Source organism: Homo sapiens, chromosome X, assembly GCF_000001405.40.
Source record: "Homo sapiens chromosome X, GRCh38.p14 Primary Assembly".
In the NCBI taxonomy this organism is placed as follows: Eukaryota; Metazoa; Chordata; class Mammalia; order Primates; family Hominidae; genus Homo; species Homo sapiens.
Window position 1 is genome coordinate 69,692,359 of NC_000023.11, and position 25,821 is coordinate 69,718,179.

General features: G+C 40.7%; 1 protein-coding gene and 1 pseudogene across 8 annotated transcripts in view, besides 1 other annotated feature; both read left to right on the forward strand.

The window, feature by feature from the left end:
• Positions 1-25,821, forward strand: part of EDA (ectodysplasin A) — a 423,360-nt gene that overhangs the window by 76,246 nt on the left and 321,293 nt on the right. The window lies entirely within an intron of this gene.
• On the forward strand, positions 598-797 carry LOC124905293 (uncharacterized; annotated as a pseudogene).
• Positions 13,256-14,047: an enhancer, noted in NCBI's record as "OCT4-NANOG hESC enhancer chrX:68925458-68926249 (GRCh37/hg19 assembly coordinates)". NCBI's record gives its function as "activates a minimal SCP1, AML or CMV promoter by ChIP-STARR-seq in primed H9 embryonic stem cells {active_cell/tissue: H9 hESC(primed)}" and the evidence as "EXISTENCE:reporter gene assay evidence [ECO:0000049][PMID:30033119]".

Here is a 25,821-nt window from a genome sequence, read left to right on the forward strand (position 1 = left end):
TCTCCCAGGGATGTCGGTAGAGTTCCCAGGGGTAACTTTCATCTCAATAGGTCTCCAACTCTAAGCAGAAGACATGTTTTGCCATGGAATACAGAGAGTGAAAACTCATGAATGAATGAGAAAAATTCATTCTCAAGAGACCTGCCTTAGCTAGCTAACACACGTCATTAGCAATATGATCTTGACGGAATTATTAAACATCTCCAAGCTTCAATTTCCATGGATGTGGGTGGTGATAACAGGATTGTTGAGAAATTTTAATAAGATAATTAATGTAAAGTACTTAACACAGTGCCCAGTTCATTGTAAGGGATTTTCATCAAGTTTTGTCAAAATAATTTCTCTCCTATGACTCACTTGGGTGTTGTAACAGGTCCGTTAAAGCTTTCTTTTACTATATCTGAAATTTTTGTCCTATATTCTTCAGATCAGTGGTTTTATTATTGATGCTTTGGGTTTGTGTCCCTGCCCAAATCATGTTATTGTAGGTTAAGGTAATATTTGCCTTTATAATGCTACTACATTATTGTTCATTCATTCAATAAATATTTATTGAGCACCTATCATCTGTTAAAATCTTTAGACAAATTAAAGTTAAAGACTATACTTTCAGGGATCATTTCTATAGTTTATTACTGGAGAAGTTTCTTTGAATGTATAGAGCACTAAAAACCATATTATCTCCCAAGTGTAAAGCTGCCTCTTGGTGTTGGTTTACTTCAGTTGCCATTTGCCATTAATGATTGTTCTTCTTTTCTTTGGGGAGAATAAGAGACAGAGGACACAGTCTGGGTGGGGAAAAATATTAAATTTAGCAGAGTCTAATTGAGCAAAGAACTATTCATGAATTGAGCAACCCTCAAAACCAGAACAAAGGGAGGGGAGAGAAGAAGATGACAGGGTTGGCAATCACTCCTCTGCTTTCTCTGTTTAACCACCATGACTATGACAGCTCTTCTTCACACAGGCCAAAATCAATCTGATCTCCAGAGAATGGTTTAGGTGAGTTAAGTGAAGTGTGGACCTAATTACATACTATACTGGAAAATACTTTATAAATTAAGTGCTATATATATACTATCGTTACTATAATAACATTTCCACCTAATTCCTCTCAGTAAAACTTCATTCTCTTCCATGTCACCCAGCTCTCTGACACAATACCTCTGATCATACCCTTCTACCATATCACATCTTCTCACTTCCCCATTGTAAATAAGCTTTCATGAAGATACAATCCAATTGATTCGGTTAATTTTGCCAATTTCAGTTTTTAGATGCCATTTGTCCTTTCAGTCTTTCCGGAAGACTGAGGGTGGTGAAGACAATGATAATGCCATTGTATTCATGACACCTTATTCAATTGCTTTATAATTTGTCCAGTAAAATAGTACTTCTATTGCTGGAGATTTCTCCAGGAGTGCTCCATAAAGGAAATACATGTTTTAATAACCTTTTTAGCTACTGTTATAGTATTGGCCTTCCTACATGGAAAGCTCCTATCCAATCGGAGAATATAGACTATTATGAGAACATACTCATATCCCATTTAAGATGGCAAATGAATGAAATTCCTCTGTAAATGTTCAAATGGACCATCAGAAAGTACAAATGTACCACCTGAAGTTTTTATTGTCTTCCAAGGATTATGGGTTTGACAAAGCAAACATTGGTTATAAACCATTTTGGCAATTTAAAAATAGTCCCCACACTAATATTTTTTCATAATTGGCATAATTTTTTATACTCCATGATGAGTTATGAAGTACAGAACTTTTAATAATGGAGGCTTTAAGGACTTGAGAAAGACCAGGTGGCCATCTGTGCCCTCTATGAGTCCATGCTTAATATTGAATTTATATTCTTTTAAATATCAGATTTGTTTCTCCAATTCAGGTGTAGCACTGTTTATTAAATAGGGTAAAATAGGTAATCTGACCTCAATCAGTCTTAAGGAGTTATTTTAAATTGCATATCTTAACAATTTCAGTACTGGCTGACTTGTTATGAAAATCTGCCAAAGCATTTCCTTAGTATTTAATAATTCTTGTTCTGCGTTTGGGTTAGCAGTTTTATAAAACTAGTTTCTTCATTAGAGATCTGGAAAGTCTCACCTAGTCTAATGGTGTATTAAAGTTATCAGAAATCTCTACTTGTCAGAGTCCTTTCCATGAATCTCCTTGAAGACCAAACACTTTAGGCTTATAGTTGCTCAGGAAAGTACCAGAGTAAACAACCATCTGTGAATAATAATGCTTAAAATGGCCATGGTTAAAGGCCTGTTGAGAGTTCACTACAACGTTGATGCAATTGACAAGGAAATTCAGTTATTTTTGCTGCATACAACATTTTAAGATAACTAGAATTATGACTTATCATTATACCAGGACTACTAGATTTCTATGTATTTTATACAATTTCTGAAACATGTATTAATAACACATCCATGCAAATATAACTCAAAGGGTTAGCTTTACTTATTATTTGACAACACTTTCCATATAATTTAATATATTGAATAAGCCCAGTTAGTTTATATTTCTCTTTTCACAAAGAGAGGTATCCTTTTGAGATGTTCCAAGGGCCTATCTGGAAAATCCCAAAGTTAATTCAAAGTCAAGAAAGAGACTTAAATTATAATTTGATTTTGTGAAGTTTGTCAAAAATATCAAAGGTTTTGGCCTGGCATGGTGGCTCATGCCTGTAATCCCAGCACTTTGGGAGGCCAAGGCAGGTGGATTGCTTGAACTCATGAGTTTGAGACCAGCCTGGGCAACATGGCAAAACCCTATCTCTACTAAAAATATAAAAATTAGCCAAGTGTGGTGGTGTGTGCCTGTAGTCCCAGCTACTCGGCAGGCTGAGGCAGGAGAATCGCTTGAACTTGGGAGGTGGAGGTAGCAGTGAGCTGAGATCGCACCACTGTAGAGAAAGAAAAAGAAAAAGGAAAGGAAGAAGGAAGGAAGAGAAAGAAGGAAAATATATATATATGGTTTAAAACACTTGGTCAAAATATGATAAGTGACTGTGAAATAACAGTAATCATTTAAATAGAGTGATAATTAAAAGACTTTAAAAGGCAAATATAGAAACATAGTTGTAGAAAAATCCTTGGCTGTTTTAGAGGACTCAGTTTTCCTTCTTTCCTTCTTTCTTTTTTTTTTTTTTTTTGACGGAGTCTAGCACTATTGCCTGGGCTGGAGTGCAGTGGCACGATCTCGGCTCACTGCAACCTCCACCTCCCAGGTTCAAGCGATTCTCCTGCCTCAGCCTTCTGAATAGCTGGGATTACAAGTGCCCGCTACCACGCCCAGCTAATTTTTAGTAGAGATGGGGTTTTACTATGTTGGCCAGTCTGGTCTCGAACACCTGACCTTGTGATCCACCCGCCTCCCGCCTTGGCCTCCCAAAGTGCTGGGATTACAGGCATGAGCCACTGCACCCAGCCTCAGTTTTCTTAAGTAAGCAAAAACCTAATATAGAACGTGAAGCACAAGGAATCATCTTGATAAAGCACAGAATCTTTGTTTCCTAGGCCAGTTACCTACCAAAAAGGTAAAGAAAGAACTCTCAAAATTTCCTATTACGAGCAGATCAAAGGCCAGACGCAGTGGCTCACGCCTGTAATCTCAGCACTTTGGGAGGCCGAGGTGGGTGGATCACCTGAGGTCAGGATTTCGAGACCAGCCTGACCAACATAGTGAAACCCCATCTCTACTAAAAATACAAAATTAGCTGGGCGTGGTGGCACATGCCTGTAATCCCAGCTATTTGGGAGGCTGAGGTGGGAGAATTGCTTGAACCCAGGAGGCAGAGGTTTCAGTGAGTGAAGATCGCACCATTGCACTCCAGCCTGGGCAATAAGAGCAAAACTCTGTCTCAAAAAAAAAAAAACGTGGATCAAGATTCCAAGAAAGCCTTATTGTTTCAACACAAGGTAAAAAATTGTAGTTTTGCATCAGTGTACATTTGGTAGTAAGGCTCAATTTTTAGAAAAACTTGTGAATAATTTCCTTCTCATCTTAGCTTGATCACACATAAAATTACTTTCATAAGATTTATCTTCCACAAACCTTCTATAATCTTTTTATGTCTCTTATTTTTCATATAGTTTTTGGTTTCTCATTTTGGAACAATCAATCATTCTACTTTAGGATAAAAATTACCCTCTTTTTTTCTTCTTCCGTACCTCATAGCTTCACTTACTAAAAACATGTCTTACTTTACTCACGTACAACGGTTGTTTTCCTTTTATTTCTATTTTAAATTACCATATATTGATTAGGATTTTCAACTCTTAGTAACCTTAATTTCTAGTGAAAACCCAGGAAGTAAAACAACTTAAAACCCTCTGTTATATACAAACATTTTATGAATATGCATTTCATAATTTCTAGAACACGTGCTTCTTCATAGAGTAGTTTTTTCATGTTTACTAATAGACCCAAATAGCATACCTATACTGTTTGAAAACAAGATGCCAAAATATGTGTACTTTAAACTTACATTTTGTAATTAATATTTTGGTATTTTTAACTTTCTTAGAAATGACCTAGACATTTCATGAATATGTATTAGAGTAATTCCTCCTTTACTGCAGTTTCAGTTATCTGCGATCAATTGCAGTTCAGAAATAGGTGAGTACAATATAATGAGATATTTTGAGAGAGGGAGAGTGAAAGGTTCTTGTATTGGTTCGAACCCCAGGAGCACACCAACAGACAGAACGAGGTAGTGTGGAGCAACACGCTGTTTTAATGAGCGCCTGGGTGCAGACGGGCTGAGACCTAAAATGGCGTCAGCACCAAATGAGGACAGGGCAGGGATTTTATAGTCTCCTCTAAACAGAAAGTGTCTCAGTCTGATGTAACTGCTACGCGGTACCCTGACGGCCTCTCTCTCAGTCTTCAGGAGGTACGTGTCTTCCAGCCATCTCTCTTCCTGCTTCTGCTATCTTGCTGAGGCACGCTGCTGGTGCAAGTGGTCTTGGATCTTGGGACTGGGCCTGAGAAGGGAGGAGTTATTCATTCCGTTAAGCTTTCAGGCCCTGGGGAGAATCTTTCATTCCCATCTATTTGGTTATAGAAAAAGGGAAAAGCGATGACTTTCTCAATAACTACTTCAAGCGTGACATGGGGGGTGTTGTGGGCACCTTGGAAACAAAGAAAAACTTAATTTTTGGGTTATTCTTGACAGACGGGTTGGTGTCCATCGTGTCGTTGCAGCAGGAACATCATCTGGATTGTCTGGTGGTTAACTGTAGTTTCAGCAAGACTTTTAATAGCTTTTATTATTAGTGGGATAATACAGGGGAGAAACTGGAGGAACCCGATGATGAAGATTACTGTCCCTACCAGTGTTTTAAATCCTCCTAAATTAGAGAACCACCCTCCAGAAGGTTTGTTGGGTCCCACCCATCCCTTCCAGGTTTGGACTGGTACATGGGCTACTTTTCTGATGTTTGAAGCAATTTCTAGAACTGCTTTTTTGTTATCGTCTATGTTAAGACAGCAATTAGAGATATTAAACTTACCACAGACCCCACTCTCTTCTGCTAATAACTAGTCTAGTGGTAGCCTGTTTTGATAAATTGCCGCATGCATTTGGTTTTGTTGTTGCGGGAGCATTTCCAGGGCTGGGGAGGTTTGGTTAGTGATTATCTCTAGAACTGTCTGTGGCCTAATTATTCTGTTTAGCATATATATGGGAGTGCGATAACCCCAGGAACCATCCTCAGCCCAAGTGGCAGGACCGTGATATTCGATGATCCGTTGCGGAGGCCATTTGTCCTTTTGCCATCTTTGGCTTCCTTCTACCTTTAAGGATTGTTTTTCTTTGTTTAGGTTATTATATACAGGGACTCCGAGGGTGTTGCCCACTGTTAATGTTTTGGAGGAAGGAGTATCCTTGCGGGGTGAGCTTGACCCTGGTGCGACGGATCCAGTAGGGGAGTCCTTGGATTCTCACTGCAGTTGGCATGCTGAGTATCACAGTGTAGGGCCTGACCACTTCGGTTGTAGCTTTTTGAGAGGGTTGGGTTGGCAGATAAACACATCTGTGCCTGCAAGACAGTTATGTTGAGAGGACAAGGAGGTGTCGACAGGCAGAGGCATGGCCTCATTTGTTGCTTCACGAATAAAAGACAGTGTCTGGATTAAGGAAGGGAGGTAATTCCCGAGTGGCTCAGAGTCTGGTAAGGGTGGAGGCCCTAAAAGAAAAGTTCGGCCATACATGATTTCAAAGGGACTATAAAAAGAGGGTGCTTTTGGTGTTGCGCAGAGTCTCATGAGGGCAAAAGAGAGATTTTTTTTGTCCACGACTGCCGGGTTTCTAGAGTTGGGCTTGGTGAGTTGGGCTTTAAGGACAGAGTTGACCTTTTCAACTTTGCCTGAAGATTGGGGCCTGTAGGGTGTGTGGAGAATCCATTTTATTCCCAAGGATGTAGAGACGCCTTGGGTAATTTGGCTGATAGAGTCAGGCTGTTATCAGATTGGATGAGTGTTGGGAGTCCAAAACGGGGAATTCTATGCATGATGAGAGTTTGTGTGACGACATTTGCACCTTCTGAAGTTGTTGGGAATGCTTCTACCCACCCGGAGAAAGTACAGACAAAGACTAGAAGATAGCAGAGCCATTTACCGGGCAGCATGTGAGTGAAGTCTACTTGCCAATCTTGCCCGGGTGCCTGGCCCCGGGCTTGGTGGGTAGGAAAAGGCAGTGGCGGAGGGACCCCTGGGGTGACACTCAGTGGCAGATAAAGCAGGTCTGGGTGATTTCTCAAACACGGCTAGAAAGGTGAGGACAAGTGAGAATAGGGTGGAGAAGTTGGAAGAGAGGTTTGTACCCGACATGGAAAGAGTTGTGGAGACTTTAGAGGATAGGAATTGTTTAAGAGTGAGGAAGAACGAAGCACCCTCCCTTGACATACCATGGTCCTTGTTTTTGAAGGTTTTGGGCTTGGTAGTCCTCTTTTTCTTCTGAGGAGTAAAGAGGAGAGAAGAAGGACAGGGACAGAGCATGGCCGAGTTTAGATGGGAGCTGGTTAGCATGGTGATGTGGGGAGTTTCTATGAATAGAGCATACACTTGGAGGAGGCATGGGGCAGGGATGAGACTTAGTACACTGCGGTGAGCTAGCATATCTTTGATGTTATGGGTTGAATAAACTGTTAGGTTGGCATGGAGAGATGGTTTTATGCTTTTAAGAGTGAGGACTGCAGCTGCCGCTGATGCTTGGAGGCAGGCAGGTCATCCGAGAACTGTGGCTTCAAGCTGTTTAGAGAGGTAGGCAACAATCTGGAGGGTGGGTCCCTTAGACTGCGTTAGAACACCTAGTGCAACTCCATGCCATTCGCTGGTATAGAGGGAGAAAGGTTTGGTGAGGTCTGGGAAAGTGAGGACGGGGGCTGAGAGCCTTACGGAGTAGACGGAAAGGTTGGGTAATAGTCTGCGCAGGGTTTAAAGGCTCATGGAGAGGGCCTTTAGCAGGGTTTAAAGGCTCATGGAGAGGGCCTTTAGCAGCTTGATATAAGTTTGGCAAGTAGAGTGAAGGAGGGAACCCAGAGCCTAAAATATCCCGCTAGTCCTAGAAAAGAGATAATTTCTTGCTTAGTTTGCAGAGGCAGGAGGGACTAGAGGAGGGATATGCGGTCGGTTGTGAGCCGTCGGGTTTGCGGGGTAAGAGCTAGGCCTAGATAGGTGACTGAGGGGGTGCATATTTGTGCTTTCTTAGGGGAGACCTGATACCCCTGTTCTGCCAAGAAGTTGAAAAGAGGGATAGTATGGGTGTTGCAGTCTCTTTGAGAGGGGCTACACAGGAGCAGATCATTAACATATTGAAGGAGAGTGGACGGTTTTAGGGATAAGATACAGAGGTCATGAGCAAGGGCCTGCCCAAAATGGTGGGGGCTGTTTCTGAAACCTTGAGGTAGTATGCATGTGAGCTGGTGTGAAAGGTGTCAGGGTCTTCCCACATAAAGGCAAAGAGGTCTTGAGAATCAGGGTGTAAAGGAATTGTGAAAAAAGCATCCTTTAGGTTTAGAACAGAAAAATGGGTGGTATTGGAGGGAATTGCGGAAAGTGAAGTATATGGGTTAGGAACTACTGGACATACTGGGAGTACAGCCTGGTTAATGAGCCTGAGGTCCTTGACTAAGTGATAAGTTCCATCTGGCTTTTTGACAGGTAGAATTGGTGTGTTAAAAGGGGAGTCTGTTGGGCGGAGTAGGTGACTGGCAAGGAGGCGAGAAATGATAGGCTTTAGGCCTATGAGAGCTGCTTGGGGGATGGGATACTGCTTCTGTGATAGGAACTGGGTGGGCTCTTTAAGGGTAATGCGGACAGGAGTGTGGTGTTTTGCGACTGAGGAAAAAGGTGTGGAAGTATCCCAAATAGCGGGGTTAACTACGGATGGGGAATAAGGAAAGGTTGCATGTTTTAAAGTGGGAGGTTGGAGGAGTAGAAGAAAGTTAGAAGCACCAGAGAGGGGTTTGGGTTGATGCATTGGGTACTATGGGGAACGTGGAAGTGGAGAGTAGTGTGGAGTTTTGAAAGGATGTCTCTGCCTAGGAGTGGAGTTGGGCATGAGGGCAGGACTAAGAAAGAGCGAGTGAAGGAAAAGGTGTGCGGGGAGCAGAAAAGTGGAGAGGTGGCTCAGGGTTTGGAGACTTGTCCATTAATTCCCACAACAGAGACTTGGGAGGACTAGGTGGGTCCTGAAAAATTAGGTAAAGCAGAGTAGGTTGCCCCAGTATTAATTTTAAAAAAGCATACTGGCTTACCTGCCACCATCAGAGTTACCCTTGGCTCGTATGAAGAGATGGTAGTTGCTGGGGCATCTGTTCCAGGGCACTGTCGGTCTTCAGTGGCAAGGCTGATGAGATCTCAGTAGGAGGTTTTGGTCGGCTCAGGAAGGGATGGGGGCAGTCCTTGTGGGGGCCACTCACAGTCCGACTTCCAGTGGGGTCCTCCGCAGAGGGGGCATGGCCTGGTGGGCTTACCTGGGTTTGGTCATTGTCTGGACCAGTCGCCTTCATTGCCACACTTGAAACAGGTGCCAGGTGGAGGTGGATTGCTAGGAGGATTCTGTGTGGAGCTGCGGCCCTTGGGCCTGCAGGGCCCCTTATGGTGGAGGCAAGCATTTGAAACTGCCTGTTTTTGCCTTTCACTTTCCTCATCACGATTGTTAGACTTTGAAGGCAAAATTAAGAAGGTCTTGTTGTAGGATTTGAGGGCCACCGTCAAGCTTCTGAAGCTTGCGCCAGATATCGGGGGTGGATTGGGAGATGAACTGAAGGTCCCTTCTGGGCTGGCTGGGTCTAGGTTGGTATACTTTCTCATGGCTTCAGTTAAACGAGAGAGAAAAAGGTCTGGGTTTTCGTCAGGACCCTGGGTGATTTATGAAAGTTTTTCATAGTTGACTGCTTTATGGACACCCTTTTTGAGTCCTGCAAGGAGACACACAATCATGTGGTCTCGATGGCAGCATCCAAGGGCTTCATCTTGATAATCCCAGTGGGGGTCCTGGTTGGGGACTACCTCTGCGCCAGTAGGCTGGGCAGGAGCTTGGTGATGAATTGTATTAGCATACGCCTGAGCTAGGGTCCAGATATGGTCCCGGTCTTCTGGGGTGAGGGTGGAAGAGAGGATAATACAGAGGTCATGCCAAGTTCATAAGACTGGGTGAGGTACTGAAACTCTAATATAAGAGGTAGGGTCTTCTGGAAATGAACCAAGTCTTTTGTTAATTTGAGAGAGATCAGTGAGGGAGAAGGGAACATGAACTCTAACAATACCTTCAGTTCCTGCTACTTCCCAAAGGGGACACTCTAGCACAGGTGCTGAAGTAAGGGTGGGGCATGGACCAAAGATGGTACCTGAGTGAGTACAGGTGGGAGAGAAGGAAGAAGCCGGAAGTGGTTCTTGCCGAGGGTTTGAAGGGGGAAGGGGGCGTTGAGCTGATAGGCAGTGGAGGATAGATAGGGGCATAAGGTGGCAGGATGGGTTTACAGTCCTCAGGAGAGGGCGGTGGGGGAGGAGAATGGGTACAGACAATACTAGAATTGTCCTGAGGAGGGGAAGGTGTAGGAAAAGAAGTGGATACTGCTGATTGGGAAGATGGTGGCTGGGAAGATGGCAGCTGAGAGGATGGTGGCTGGGAAGATGGCAGCTGAGAGGATGGCAACTGGGAAGATGGCGACTGAGAAGATAAAGAGGAGGCTTGGGGGACTAAAGGTGGTTGAGAGAGAGAGGAGGGGTGGACAGCAGTCTGCTGGATCCAACAAGGAAAAAGAGGTTGGGCTGGGAGGAGAAAGGCGATCAGGGCGGCGAGAATGGAGGAGAAGGATTTGAACAGGTGAGCAAGAATTGCCGAGGTTGGGTTGTGATCTGAGTGCAAAAAAGCCTGGACATAAGGAATTTCTCCCCATTTTTCCAGCCGTCAGCAATAATTGCTTAAGTCAGTTAAAACTGTAAAGTCGAATGTTCATTTGCGGGCCATTTGGACCCATTATCTAATTCATACTGTGGCCAGACTGAATTGCAAAAAAGACAAGGTGTTTAGGGCGGATATTTTGTCTGAGGCCTAAGGTTTGCAAGTTTTTTTTTTTTTTATGAGGCAGCCTAGAGGGCTGTCCTTTGGAATGGAAGACTGGGAATTTCCCATAACGGAGGGTAGGCTCAGGAGAAAAGGGAAAGGGAGACCATCTTGCATGGCCGTAGGGAGACGATAAAAGGAGCAATTGTCACCGCTGCCTTTTTCGTTCCTGGAATGGGATCAAATGGCTTAGAAGTGTCCCCCTAAGACCAGATGATCAGCGAGTGCCTGGCACACACCGGAACCTTCTTGGACCAAGGTTGGATTTTCGGACCGGAGAAACCAAGAGAGGCCGTGCAGATTTTTCCCTGTTAACCAGGCTCCCAGGAAACTTTACCAGTAGGTGAGATCAGTGACTGATGTGCATGCACAGAGAGGCGACTAGAGGCTGAGGAGTTTCCTTTGTCCGGCTGCTGTGGCCTGCTCTCCAGGGTGGAGGCGTAGGTCCACAGGGGACATACACCGGAGCCCCTCCCGGTTTTCGGCACCAGATGAAAGGTTCTTGTATCTGTTCTAATCCCGAGAGCGTGCCAACAGACAACACGAGGTAGTGTGGAGCAATACGCTGTTTTAATGAGCGCCTGGGTGCAGACGGGCTGAGGCCTAAAATGGCGTCAGCACCAAATGAGGCCAGGGCAGGGGTTTTATAGTCTCCTGTAAACAGAAAGTGTCTCAGTCTTATGTAACTGCTACGCAGTACCCTGACGGCCTCTCTCTCGGTCTTCAGGCGGTACGTGTCTTCTGGCCAGCTCTCTTCCTGCTTCTGCTATCTTGCTGAGGCATGCTGTTGGTGGAAGTGGTCTTGCGTCTTGGGACTGGGCCTGAGAAGGGAGGAGTTATTCATTCCCTTAAGTTTCAGGCCCTGGGGAGAATCTTTCAGAGAGAGAGAAAGACCACATCTATATTACTTTTATTGTAATATATCGTTATAATTTTGGTATTTTATTAGTTGTTGTTAATCTCTTACTGTGCCTAATTTATAAGCTAAATCTTATCATAGGTATGTATGTATAGATAACAACATAGTATATATAGAGTTTGGTACTACCTTTGGTTTCAGGCATTGATGAAAAGAGTTGAACTCTGTAAAACATTTGAAGAGATTTATTCTGAGCCAAATATGAATGACCAATGGCCTGTGACACAGCCCCAGTAAATCCTGAGAACGTGTGCTACAGCTTGGTTTTACACATGTTAGGGAGACAAGACATCAATCAGTTCATGTAATATGTACATTGATTTGGTCTGGAAAGGCAAGGCAACTGGAAGCTGGGGTTTCCAGGTCATAGGCAGATTCAAAGATTTTCTGATTGGTAATTGGTTGAAACAGTTATTATCTAAAGACCTGGAATCAATAGAAAGAATGTCTGGGTTAAGATAAGAGGTTGTGGAGACCAAGATTTTATCATGCAGACAAAGCCTCCAGGTAGCAGAGGTAACAGGCTTCAGAGAGAATAGATTGTAAATATTTCTTATCAGACCTAAAGGGTCTGTTCTATCAGTTTTAAGGTCTCTGTTTTGATGTTAATGTTAGTCAGCTGTGCCTGAATTTCAAAAGGGGGGAGGGTATAATGAGAAATGTCCCATTATCACTTGAACTAGTTTTCAGGTTAACTTCGGAATGCCCTTGCCCAGAGGTGAGGAGTGGGGGGAGTGGGTGGGAGGATCCATCAGTGCATCTACTGGGTGTCTTGGAATTTATCTCCCAAGGATAAGGTGGGGACTACTGTACTTAATATAACATAGAAGGACTTTAAGATTTTAAGTTACTGAAAAAGATTTTTGAAATTTTGACAAGTTCACTTAAACTTGTATCCCATTTACATTCACTTAATTTACTTATTCTTGACAATTCTTGAATTGCTCATTAAACAAAACTGGCCATTGAAGGAGTTCAGGAAATACCACCCTAAAATATGTATATCGGTATACATATTTTTGTTATGTTGATGACTTTGAGCTGAAGCACTTGAAAAACAGCAAAATAGGCCAGGCGTGGTGGCTCACACCTGTAATCCCAGCACTTTGGGAGGCCGAGGTGGGCCATTCACCTGAGGTCAGGAGTTCAAGATCAGCCTGGCCAACATGGTGAAACCCTGTCTCTACTAAAAAAAATACAAAATTAGCTGGATGTCGTGATGGGCACCTGTAATCCCAGCTACTCGGGAGGCTGAGGCAGGAGAATGGCTTGAACCTGGGAGGCGGAGGTTGCAGTGAGCTGAGATCACACCATTGCACTCCAGCCTGGGCTACAAGAGTGAAACTCCATCTCAAAAAAAAAAAAAAAAGAAAGAAAGAAAAAAGAAAAACAGCAAAATACAGAGGCTTTCTGAGTTCCCCCTCCATCTGCCTAAAGACTAATGCTACAAAAGGAACTCAATTGTCATCAGTCCTCTGAAGATTAACTGTTATCACAAGAGAGAAGGCCAGAAGTCCATCGCAACCAGACAAACCTTGTCACAACATCATCTATTCTCTAAGGGGCCCATTCATCTTTCCCTAACACCATTTACTCTGAAGATATCTCTTTTCTTTGACCTCTAACCATTTTACTCATAGTAGCAGTAGGGATTGAGTCAAGGGACCTTTGTCCTTTTTTAAAATGACCTGCCTGATTATTGCCCTAAGCAATTTTTAGTTAGGCTGCTCATTATATTTGTCTTTGGGCTTTTAAAATTTCTCCAAACTGAGGTAAATAGAGTGGACTGGTTTGGGTCACTGAAATGTTGGGGGACCAACAGGGAGTCCCTCTGGTTCATCCATCCTTTGTTAGATTCAACCTTTGTTTTAACCCCATCAGTGTCCATTTTAGTCATCTCATTTTTAAGAACCATCTAAAAATTTTCTACGCCAAATTTGCATTTCTAAAGTGATGGTTCTTAGGTAAAACAAGGTACAAAATTTATATCTCAAAGGTACAGAACTCAGATTTCAGCACTAATTGTCATTATTTGCTCAAACCAAGAAAAGAAGGTATAGGTAAAGGCCCAGTTAAGACAAGATGGCCAAGAAAATCACCTTAAACAAAGGTAAGGCTTGTTATGTAAATTTAAGTCAATGCTTTCTCCATTGTAAGAGCTTCTAATAAGAGTCCTGCCTTTCTTCCGGTGCAGAGACAGAGACAGCCTTATAAATGGAGATTTCCTTTATAGATGTAAATTTATTTTACAAAACGTCTCAAAATAACTAAAAATAGGCAGATTCCCAGCCCAAGTTTTTAAATTAGATTACTGAGTTCAGAGTGGTTCCCATTAATGCATAGGGCAGACAAAGCATCTTCTATGCCAGCCTAGGATACATTTCACTGTTGTTCTGAGTTTAAGATTTTGACGAAGGCATAGAGTGGTTAAAGAAGCAGGCCACCTTTATCTGAGGGCTGAACTTCTCTAAACAACTTTTTTATCCTGAGATGGGAAAATAAGCAAAAAGGTTAATAAATTTAGAGTACTATCGATGAAAAGTGTCAAACTCTGTAAAATATTTTTGAAAAGATTTTTTCTGATCCAAATATGAGTCACCATGACCCGTGACACAGCCCTCAGGAGATCCTGAGAATATGTGCCCAAGGTGTTTGAGGTGCAGCTTGGTTTTATACATTTTAGGGAGATGTGAAACTTCAATCAAACACATTTAAGAAATACATTGGTTCAGTCCAGAAAGGCAGGACAACTCGAAGAAGGGTGGGGGTGGGGAGGCTTCCAGGTTGTATGTAGATTTACAATTTTTCTAATTGGCAATTGGTTGAAAGAGTTATCAATAGAAAGGAATGTCTATGTTGAGATAAGAGGTTGTGGAGACCAAGGTTTTATCATACAAATGAAGCCTCCAGGTAGCAGGCTTCAGAGAGAATAGATTATAAATGTTTCTTATCAGACTATGTTGATGTTAATGCTGAAGAGGCCTAATGAGGCATGTCTGACCCCCACTTCCTGTCATGGCCTGGACCAGTCTCTCAGGTTAAATTTTAAAGTGCCCTGGCCTAGGAAGAAGTCCATTCAGGTGGTTGGGGGGTACCTTAGAATTTTATTTTTGGTTTACAGTAGGCAGAGGAGGATAAAGAGAAAGATGGAGAGAAAGATAAAGAACAGTCAGAATCATCAGTCAACATAAAATATTTTCTCTCTCCAAAGATCATGTTGACCAGAAAGAGGTGGACAGAGTTGGCAGAACATATAGTCAACAGGGTTTTGAGAAGAGAGGTTTCAGTCAACTGAGAGGTTCTTATGGGAGAAGCAAGAATAAGTACAGAAAACAGAGAGAACTAATTCTTACAAATATTTTTCTGAAAATGGTCCAAGTGGTATTAGACAGGTTTGGACACAGGAATCTTTTAGACATAATTTGAAACCTCCACCATGGAAATATTCTTTATTTCTCTCTGAGAGATTGGTTAATTATCATCTAAGGAGTGAAGCCTTTGGGGGCTTCTTCTAGTGAGGAAATAGTGCAGGACAAAGTGAGTGAGTTCATCAGATGTCTTGTATAAAAACTGACAGTTTATTTTCCAATTCTCTGGCTGTTTACGATAAAGTCAGACATCTCAGAGCACAGGGTACTTTAGTTTGGGACCCCTTGTTTTTGGTTTAAAATTTATACCGCAAGGTCCTCTTGGTCCTCGTAGATGTTGTAGCTGTAAAGACACCCAACTGTTTGCCTTTTGTAAGGAGTTTTCCCACTGTGCCCACTGTAACTCTAAGTTACTCTGAGTTCACCCATTTCTCTAGAAAAACACAGGTTCTATATCCATAATTCTTATACATGAAATTTGCTAGAGTTCCACATGGAGGAGTTCTAGATTTTTTGGATCCAGATGAACCCATGATTTCCTATCATATTCTAGTAACCTTACCTACCTATTGAACCCAGTCCAGTTTCTGTCTGACCCAGGCAGACACCTGTGGCACCCCCATACAGTACCCATTCCTGTTTCTATTGTGACTTCTGAATCCATTGTGGATTTAAAAAAATGCTAAAATAAATTTGAGAGCTCAAGCAACAAATTTGTGGAGCCCAGAATCTGAGAGAGAAATCACCCATGACCCCAGTTGCTCTAATAGATCAGTGGGCATAATGGGCTCTGTTGGGTACTTTTACTTAGTCACTCAGTGTTACTGGGGGTCACTGGAGTTCTACTTTGGATCCGACTTCCGATGCCAATCTGTTAAAAGAAAAACTTTAGACAAACTAAATTTAACAGAGTTTAATTGAGGAAAGAATGATTCACAAATTGGGCAGCCCTCAAAACCAGAACAGGTTAACAGAACTCTTGCATGCAGCATTTATGGACGAAAAACTGAGTGCCCTAAGAGAGACAGCTTGATTGGTTACAGCTCTGCCTTTGCCTTATTTGAGCATGGTGTAATCAGTTAGCTACCTGCAGTTGACCGAAGCTTGGCTGCTGTGATTGGTGGACACTCAGCTATTTGTTACAAAAGTATACTGTGAAGTTGGGCTTTTGGTTAGTTTTTATGTACGTAGGTTTTAGTTCATCAGTTCATTAGGTAAGGACTCAAGTATGGAGGCTTCACACATGTATGAGGAGCTGTGCTGGAACTGGGGCTATAACAGTGATTAGAGGTAGATTTACTATAAAGTGAATGAAGCTTAAATTCCAAGGCCCTTCACTTGCAGGGACATCTTCTACGGCCCTATAACTAATTTTGTATTTGTAATTTGGTATTATTGTTCTTGAAGAAAATTCTGCAACTCATATATTTTAAGTCCAACAAAACCTGTATCTGGCTAGGAAGAAAACAAAGTTCCTGTTACCTGCTCCCATTTTGATGGGAGCTGGGGTGGGGGCAGACAAAAAATATAAAAAATAGATCTATAATATATCAGGTGGAAGCAAATATAGGAGAAACTTAGAGCAAGGAAAGGGATGTATAAAAAGTGAGGGGTGGGAGTTGCTGTCTCACTTATGTGGTCAAGAAATACCTCTGTGATATAGCAAGACCCAGAAGAAATGAAGGATAACATCATGCAGATAATTGGGAGAAGAACCAACTGGATAGAGAAAATAGCATGTGCAAAGGTCCTGAGTCTAGAATGTGTTCTTGGTGTGTTTGAGGAATGGCAAAGTTGTCAATGTAGCAGAAACAGTAAGAAATGAAGTCTGAGATCATGATGGTTCACTGGGCTTTCCATCAGCTTAAAACTCTTTCACAGATGCTGCTGTGTTTATTTAATTGTAAGTTTGGACCTTTGTGAAAGGCTTTTTATTTGTTTATGTTATTTTTCATTGTGTATCTAACAGCCAGTATAGTCTGTTAATTCCTAATTCTGACCATTCAAATATCAGTACCCTTGTGTGCTTCAGACCATCTGCAGATTCAGTCAACTATATGCTTTCTGTTTGGTTTTCAAACCATCAGTGGAAATCTTGAAGGATATGTGGCCTTTTAGCATTTGGCTAGGGACCATTGATTGACATTTAATCTTTCAGTCAGTCTTGAGTATGGTCTTTGAAATGTTTACAAGTTCTCTCAGCTCTAATGTGGCACATCAGTTTTGACTCTATAAAGCTATTCTGAGACACCGTCAAATACTTTCCTAAACTCAGGATATAAAAACAGTTATAGCACTCACCTGATAACTTTTATATCAAAAGTAAAGGAAGGAAGAAAGGGAGGGGAGGGTGAACGAGTTTTTTTCCTAATGAACCCATACTAGCTCCTAGTGTCCACTGATTTCTCTTTGCTTTAAACTGTTTTCAGCATTATTTTTTTCTCTTTTTAAAGAGGGGGCATCTCAGGCTGGCTTTGAATTTTTGGACTCTAGAGATCCTCTCACCTCAACCTCCAGAGGAACTGGGACTATAGGCATGGGCCATCACTCCTGTCTATGTCCCCAGCATTTTAAACTGATGTTGTTATTAAGAAAATTGTAGATTCTTTTTTTTTTCTTGTAAATTTGTTTGAGTTCATTGTACATTCTGGATATTAGCCCTTTGTCAGATGAGTAGATTGCAAAAATTTTCTCCCATTCTGTAGGTTGCCTGTTCACTCTAATAGTAGTTTCTTTTGCTGTGCAGAAGCTCTTGAGTTTAATTAGATCCCATTTGTCAATTTTGGCTTTTGTTGCCATTGCTTTTGGTGTTTTATACTTGAAGTCCTTGCCCATGCCTATGTCCTGAATGGTATTGCCTAGGTCTTCTTCTAGGGTTTTTATGGTTTTAGGTCTAACATTTAAGTCTTTAATCCATCTTGAATTGATTTTTGTATAAGGTGTAAGGAAGGGATCCAGTTTCAGCTTTCTACATATGGCTAGCCAGTTTTCCCAGCACCATTTATTAAATAGGGAATCCTTTCCCCATTTCTTGTTTTTGTCAGGTTTGTCAAAGATCAGATAGTTGTAGATATGCGGCATTATTTCTGAGGGCTCTGTTCTGTTCCATTGGTCTATATCTCTGTTTTGGTACCAGTACCATGCTGTTTTGGTTACTGTTGCCTTTAGTATAGTTTGAAGTCAGGTAGTGTGATGCCTCCAGCTTTGTTCTTTTGGCGTAGGATTGACTTGGCAATGCGGGCTCTTTTTTGGTTCCATATGAACTTTAGTTTTTTCCAATTCTGTGAAGAGAGTCATTGGTAAATTGATGGGGATGGCATTGAATCCATAAATTACCTTAGGCAGTATAGCCATTTTCACGATATTAATTCTTCCTACCCATGAGCATGGAATGTTCTTCCATTTGTTTGTATCCTCTTTGATTTCATTGAGCAGTGGCTTGTAGTTCTCCTTGAAGAGGTCCTTCACATCCCTTGTAAGTTGGATTCCTAGGCATTTTATTCTCTTTGAAGCAATTGTGAATGGGAGTTCACTCATGATTTGGCTCTCTTGTTTGTCTGTTATTGGTGTATAAGAATGCTTGTGATTTTTGCACATTGATTTTGTATCCTGAGACTTTGCTGAAGTTGCCTATCAGCTTAAGGAGATTTTGGGCTGAGAAGATGGGGTTTTCTAGATATACAATCATGTCATCTGCAAACAGGGACAATTTGACTTCCTCTTTTCCTAATTGAATACTCTTTATTTCCTTCTCCTGCCTGATTGCCCTGGCCAGAACTTCCAACACTATGTTGAATAGGAGTGGTGAGAGAGGGCATCGCTGTCTTGTGCCAGTTTTCAAAGGGAATGCTTCCAGTTTTTGCCCATTCAGTATGATATTGGCTGTGGGTTTGTCATAGATAGCTCTTATTATTTTGAGATACGTCCCATCAATACCTAACTTATTGAGAGTTTTTAGCATGAAGGGTTGTTGAATTTTGTCAAAGGCCTTTTCTGCATCCATTGAGATAATCACGTGGTTTTTGTCTTTGGTTCTGTTTATATGCTGGATTATGTTTATTGATTTGTCTATGTTGAACCAGCCTTGCATCCCAGGGATGAAGCCCACTTGATCATGGTGGATAAGCTTTTTGATGTGCTGCTGGATTCAGTTTGCCAGTATTTTATTGAGGATTTTTGCATCGATGTACATCAGGGATATTGGTCTAAAATTCTCTTTTTTGGTTGTGTCTCCGCCAGGCTTTGGTATCAGGATGATGCTGACCTCATAAAATGAGTTAGGGAGGATTCCCTCTTTTTCTATTGATTGGAATAGTTTCAGAAGGAATGGTACCAGCTCCTCCTTGTACCTCTGGTAGAATTCGGCTGTGAATGCTTGTGGTCCTGGACTTTTTTTGGTTGGTAGGCTATTAATTATTGCCTCAATTTCAGATCCTGTTATTGGTCTATTCAGAGATTCAACTTCTTCCTGGTTTAGTCTTGAGAGAGTGTATGTGTCGAGGAATTTATCCATTTCTTCTAGATTTTCTAGTTTATTTGCGTAGAGGTGTTTATAGTATTCTCTGATGGTAGTTTGTATTTCTGTGGGATCGATGGTGATATCCCCTTTATCATTTTTTATTGCGTCTATTTGATTCTTCTCTCTTCTCTTCTTTATTAGTCTTGCTAGCAGTCTATCAATTTTGTTGATCTTTTCAAAAAACCAGCTCCTGGATTCATTGATTTTTTTGAAGGGTTTTTTGTGTCTCTATTTCCTTCAGTTCTGCTCTGATCTTAGTTATTTCTTGCCTGCTGCTAGCTTTTGAATGTGTTTGCTCTTGCTTCTCTAGTTCTTTTAATTGTGATGTTAGAGTGTCAATTTTAGATCTTTCCTGCTTTCTCTTGTGGGCATTTAGTGCTGTAAATTTCCCTCTACACACTGCTTTGAATGTGTCCCAGAGATTCTGGTATGTTTTGTCTTTGTTCTCGTTGGTTTCAAAGAACATCTTTATTTTTGCCTTCATTTCATTATGTATCCAGTAGTCATTCATTCGGAGTAATTATAAATGGTAATGTGTCTTTAATTTTGGTTTCCACATGTTAATTATTAGTATATATAGATGCAGTTCATATTTGTCTCTTGACATTGGACCTTAAACAACCCCATCAAAAAGTGGGCGAAGGATATGAACAGACACTTCTCAAAAGAAGACATTTATGCAGCCAAAAGACACATGAGAAAATGCTCATCATCACTGGCCATCAGAAAAATGCAAATCAAAACCACAATGAGATACCATCTCACACCAATTAGAATGGCGATCATTAAAAAGTCAGGAAACAACAGGCGCTGGAGAGGATGTGGAGAAATAGGAACACTTTTACACTGTTGGTGGGACTGTAAACTAGTTCAACCATTGTGGAAGTCAGTGTGGTGATTCCTCAGGGATCTATAACTAGAAATACCATTTGACCCAGCCATCCCATTACTGGGTATATACCCAAAGCATTATAAACCATGCTGCTGTAAAGACACATGCACATGCATGTTTATTGCGGCACTATTCACAATAGCAAAGACTTGGAACCAACCCAAATGTCCAACAATGATAGACTGGATTAAGGAAATGTGCCACATATACACCATGGAATACTATGCAGCCATAAAAAAATGATGAGTTCATGTCCTTTGTAGGGACATGGATGAAGCTGGAAACCATCATTCTCAGCAAACTATTGCAGGGACAAAAAAACCAAACAGTGCATGTTCTCACTCATAGGTGGGAATTGAACAATGAGAACACATGGACACAGGAAGGGGAACATCACACACCGGGGCCTGTTGTAGGGTGGGGGGAGGGGAAGGGATAGCATTAGGAGATATACCTAATGTTAAATGACGAGTTAATGGGTGCAACACACCAACATGGCACATGTATACATACGTAACAAACCTGCACGTTGTGCACATGTACCCTAAAACTTAAAGTATATTTTAAAAAGAGGAAAATTGTAGATTCACAGCAATTTTCAGAAATAATACGGAGAGCTCCTTTGTATGCTCTAGTTTCCGCTAATGGTAACAGTTTACAGAACTATAGTATAATATCATGACCAGGAATTGACATTGGTACAATCTACCCATCTTATTCATATTTCTTCAGATTTACTTGTAGTCGTATACAATCTTATCTGTGTAGCCTTGTGTATCTACTACCACAGTTGAGATACAGAACAGTTCCAACATCAAAAGGATCCCTTGTTTTGTCCTTTTATAAACACACCCGCTGCCTCCTTGTGTACCCTCCCTTTACCCCATGTCTAACCCCTGGCAACCACTAATCTCCTGTTTCTACAGTTTTGTCATTTCTAAAATGTCATATAAATGGAATCATATGGTATGTACACTTTGGGGATTTACTTTTTTTCACTTAGCATAGTCCCCTTGGAATCCATCCAAATTGTTGTGTGTATTAATAGTTTGTTCCTTTTTATTGCTGAGTAATGTTTCATTGTGTGGATGAACTGTAGTTTGTTTAACCAGTCACCTGTTGAAGGACATCAAGGCTTATTCCAGTTTTTGGCAATTACAAAGAAAGCTGCCATGAACATTTGTGTGTAGGTTTTTGTTTGAACATGTTTTTATTTTTCTGGGATAAATGCCTAAGAATCCAGTTGCTGGGTCGTATTATAGTTGCATGTTTAGTTTTTTTTTTTTTTCCAAGAAACTGCCAAACTATTTACAATAATTTATAATTTTACTTTATACAAAATTTATAATTTTACTTTACCATAGTGGCAGTACTATTTTACATTCCCACCATGAATGGTTCTCTTTCTCCACATTCTTGCCAGCATTTGGCACTGTCACTATTTTTAATATTAGCCATTTGGATAGGTGTGTAGTAGTGTATCATAGTAATTTTAATTTTAATTTCCCTGATGGCTAATAATATTGAACATCTTTTCATGTATTGATCTGCAATCTCTGTGTCCTCTTTAGTTAAGTGTCTCTTCATGTCTTTTGTTTTATTTTTAGTTTACTCTTGAGTTTTGAGAGTTCTTTATATATTCTAGATATAAGTTCATTTTCAAATATGTGGTTTGGAAATATTTTCTCGTAGTCTATAAGCTTATCTTTTTGTTGTGCTCACATAGGCTTTCACAGAGCAAGGGTTTTAAATTTTGGTAAGGTCCAATTTATCAATTTTTTCTTTTATAGATCATACTTTTTGTGTCAAGTCTAAGAACTCTTTGCCTCACCCTAGTTCCCAAAGATTTTCTCCTGTTTTTAAAAAAGGTTTTATAATTTTACTTTTATATTTAAGTCTATGATACATTTTGAGTTAACTTTTATATAAATTGTGAAGATTATTTCAGGGTTACTTTACTTGCCTGGGGATATCCAATTGCTCCAGCATCATTTGTTGAAAAGGCTATGCTTCCTCCATTGAATTGGGTTTGACTTTAGTCATGCATATTTATATGAACATATTTTTGAGTTCTCTGTTTTGTCTCATGGAGCTGTATGTCTACCCTCCACTAATACCATGCTGTTTTGATTACGGTAGCTATATATGTTAAGTGTTAATATGTGCTAGAGTGATTCCTTCTCCTTTTTTTCTCTTTTCCAGGGTTGTTCTACCTATTCTGGGGCCTGTGCCTTTCCATATAACTTAAAATAAGCTTGCCTATGTCTACAAAAATCCTTGTTAGGATTTTTATAGGAATTATAGTAAACCTGTGGATCAATATGGGGAAAATTGACATCTTTACAATGTTGTCTTCCAATCAATGAACACAATATATCTATCTATTTAGGTCTTTTAAAAATTCCTTTCAACCCATTTTTTTTTTTTTTTTTTTACTTTTTGTAACTTTTATTTTAGGTTCAGGAGTACATGTGCAGGTTTGTTATACAGGTAAACTCATGTCACAGGAGTTTGTTGTACAGATTATTTTGTCACCCAGGTACTAAGCCTAGTACGCAAGAGTTATTTTTTTCTGATCCTCTCCCTCTTCTCACCCTCCATCCTCAAGTAGGCCCCAGTGTCTAACATTCCCCTCTTTGTGTCCGTGTGTTCTCATCATTTAGCTCCCACTTATACGTGAGAATATGCAGTATTTGGCTTTCTGTTCCTGCATTAATGTGCTAAGGATAATGGCCTCAAGCTCCATCCATGTTCCTACAAAGGACATGATTTCATTCTTTTTAATGGTTGCATAATATTCCATGGTATATATGTACCACATTTTCTTTGACCAGTTTGCTATTGATGGACATTTACATTGATTCCATGTCTTTGCTATTGTGAGTAGTGCTGCAGTGAACATACGCCACATGCATGTGTCTTTATGGTAGAATGATTTATATTCCTTTGGGTATTTGCCCAATAATGAGATTGCTGGGTCAAATGGTAGTTCTTTGAGGAATTGCCACACTGTTTTTCACAATAGTTGAACTAATTTATTCTCCCACTAACAGTGTATAAGCATTCTCTTTTCTTTGCAACCTCTCCAGCATCTGTTATTTTTGACTTTCTAGTAGTAGTCATTTTGACTGGTGTGAGATGGTATCTCATTGTGGTTTTGATTTGCATTTTTCTAATGATCAGTGATATTGAGTTTTTTTTTCATGTGCTTGTTGGCTGCATGTATATATTCTTTTGAAAAGTGTCTGTTCATGTCCTTTGCCTACTTTTTAATGGGTTTGTTTTCTTGTAGATTTCAGTTCCTCATAGATGCTGGATATTAGACCTTTGTCAGATGCATAGTTTACACATATTTTCTCCTATTCTATGGGTTATTTGTTTAATCTGCTGATAGTTTCTTTTGCTGTACAGAAGCTCTTTAATTAGATCCCATTTGTCCATTTTTGCTTTTGTTGCAATCGCTTTTGGCATCTTCATCATGAAATCTTTGCCTGTGCCTATATCCTGAGTGGTATTGCCTAGATTTTCTTCTAGGGTTTTTATAGTTTGGGGTTTTACATTTCAGTCTTTACTCGTTCTTGAGTTAACTTTTGTATATGTTGTAAGGAAGGGATCCAGTTTCAATCTTTTGCATATGGCTAGCCTGTTTTCCCAGCACCTTTATTGAATAGAGGGATTCCTTTCACCATTGCTTGTTTTTGTTGACTTTGTCAAAGATCAGATAGTTGTAGGTGTGTGGCTTTATTTCTAGGCTCTCTATTCTGTTCCATTGATCTATGCATCTGTTTTGTTCCATTACCATGCTGTTTTGGTTACTGTCACCCTGTAATATAGTTTAAAGTCAGGTAATATGATGCCTTCAGCTTATTTTTTTTTTTTCCTTAGGATTGCCTTGGCTACTTGGGCTGTTATTTGGTTCCATATGAATTTTAAAATAGTTTTTTCTAGTTCTGTGAAGAATGTCATTGATAGTTTGATAGGAATAGCATTGAATCTCTAAATTGCTTTGGGCAGTATGGCCATTTTAATGATATTGATTCTTCTTATCCATGAGCATGGAATGGTTTTACATTTGTTTGTGTCTTTCCTGATGTCTTTGAGCAGTGTTTTGTAATTCTCATTGATCTTTCACCTCCCTGGTTAGCTGTATTCCTAGGTATTTTATTCGTTTTGTAACAGTTGTGAATGGGATTGCATTCCTGATTTGGCTCTCTGCTTGGCTATTGTTGATGTATAGGAATGTTAGTGATTTTTGTACACTGATTTTGTATCCTGAAACTTTGCTGAAGTTGTCTATCAGCTGAAGGAGCTTTTGGGCCAAGACTGTGGGGTTTTCTGGGTATAGAATCATGTCATCAGCAAACAGGGATAGTTTGACTTCCTCTCTTACTATTTGGATGCCCTTTATTTCTGTCTCTTGTGTGATTGCTCTGGCTAGGACCTACAATACCATGTTGGATAGGAGTGGTGAGAAAGGGCATCCTTGTCTTGTGCTGGTTTTCAAGGGGAATGCTTCCAGCTTTTGCCCATTCAATATGATGTTGTCTGTGGGTTTGTCATAAATGGCTTTTATTATTTTGAGGTATGTCCCTTCAATACCTAGGTTATTGAGAGTTTTTAACATGAAGGGATTCAACAGCATTTTATAATGTTCAGTATATACAGCCTGTATGTGTTTTGTTAGGTATCTACCTAAGTACTCTATTTTCTTCAGTGCTATTGTAACTGGTATTATATTTTAAATTTTAGTTTCTGCATGTTTATTGTCAGTATATAGAAAAGCAATTGAATATTTGTGTGTTGATCTTTTATCTGTGTACTTGGTGATATGGTTCGGGTCTGTGTCACCTCCCAAATCTCATGTCAAATTGTTTTTTTTTTTTTTTTCGAGATGGAGTCTTGCTCTGTCACCCAGGCTGGAGTGCAGTGGCACGATCTCAGCTCATTGCAAGCTCTGCCTCCCAGGTTCACACCATTCTCCTGCCTCAGCCTCCCAAGTAGCTGGGACTACAGGTGCCCACCACCATGCCTGGCTAATTTTTTGTATTTTTAGTAGAGACAGGGTTTCACTGTGTTAGCCAGGATAGTCTTGATCTCCTGACCTCCTGATCCACCCTCCTTGGCCTCCCAAAGTGCTGGGATTACAGGTGTGAGCCACCATGCCTGGCCAATCTCATGTCAAATTGTAATCCCCAATGTTGGAGGTGGGGCCTGGTAGGAAGTGATTGGATCCTGGGGGCAGATTTCTCTTTTGGTGCTGTTTATGTGATAGTGAGTTATCATGAGATATGGTTGTTTAAAAGTGTGTAGCATGTCCCCACTTTTCTCTCTTCCTCGTGTTCTGGCCATGTAAAATGTGCCTGCTTCCCCTTCACCTTCTGCCGTGATTGGCCTCCCCAGAAGCCGTCAACGTTTCCTATACAACCAGTGGAACTATGAGCCAATTAAACCTCTTTTCTTTATAAATTACCCAGTCTCAGGTACTTCTTTATACCAGTGTGAGAATGGACTAATACACTTGGTAAACTCA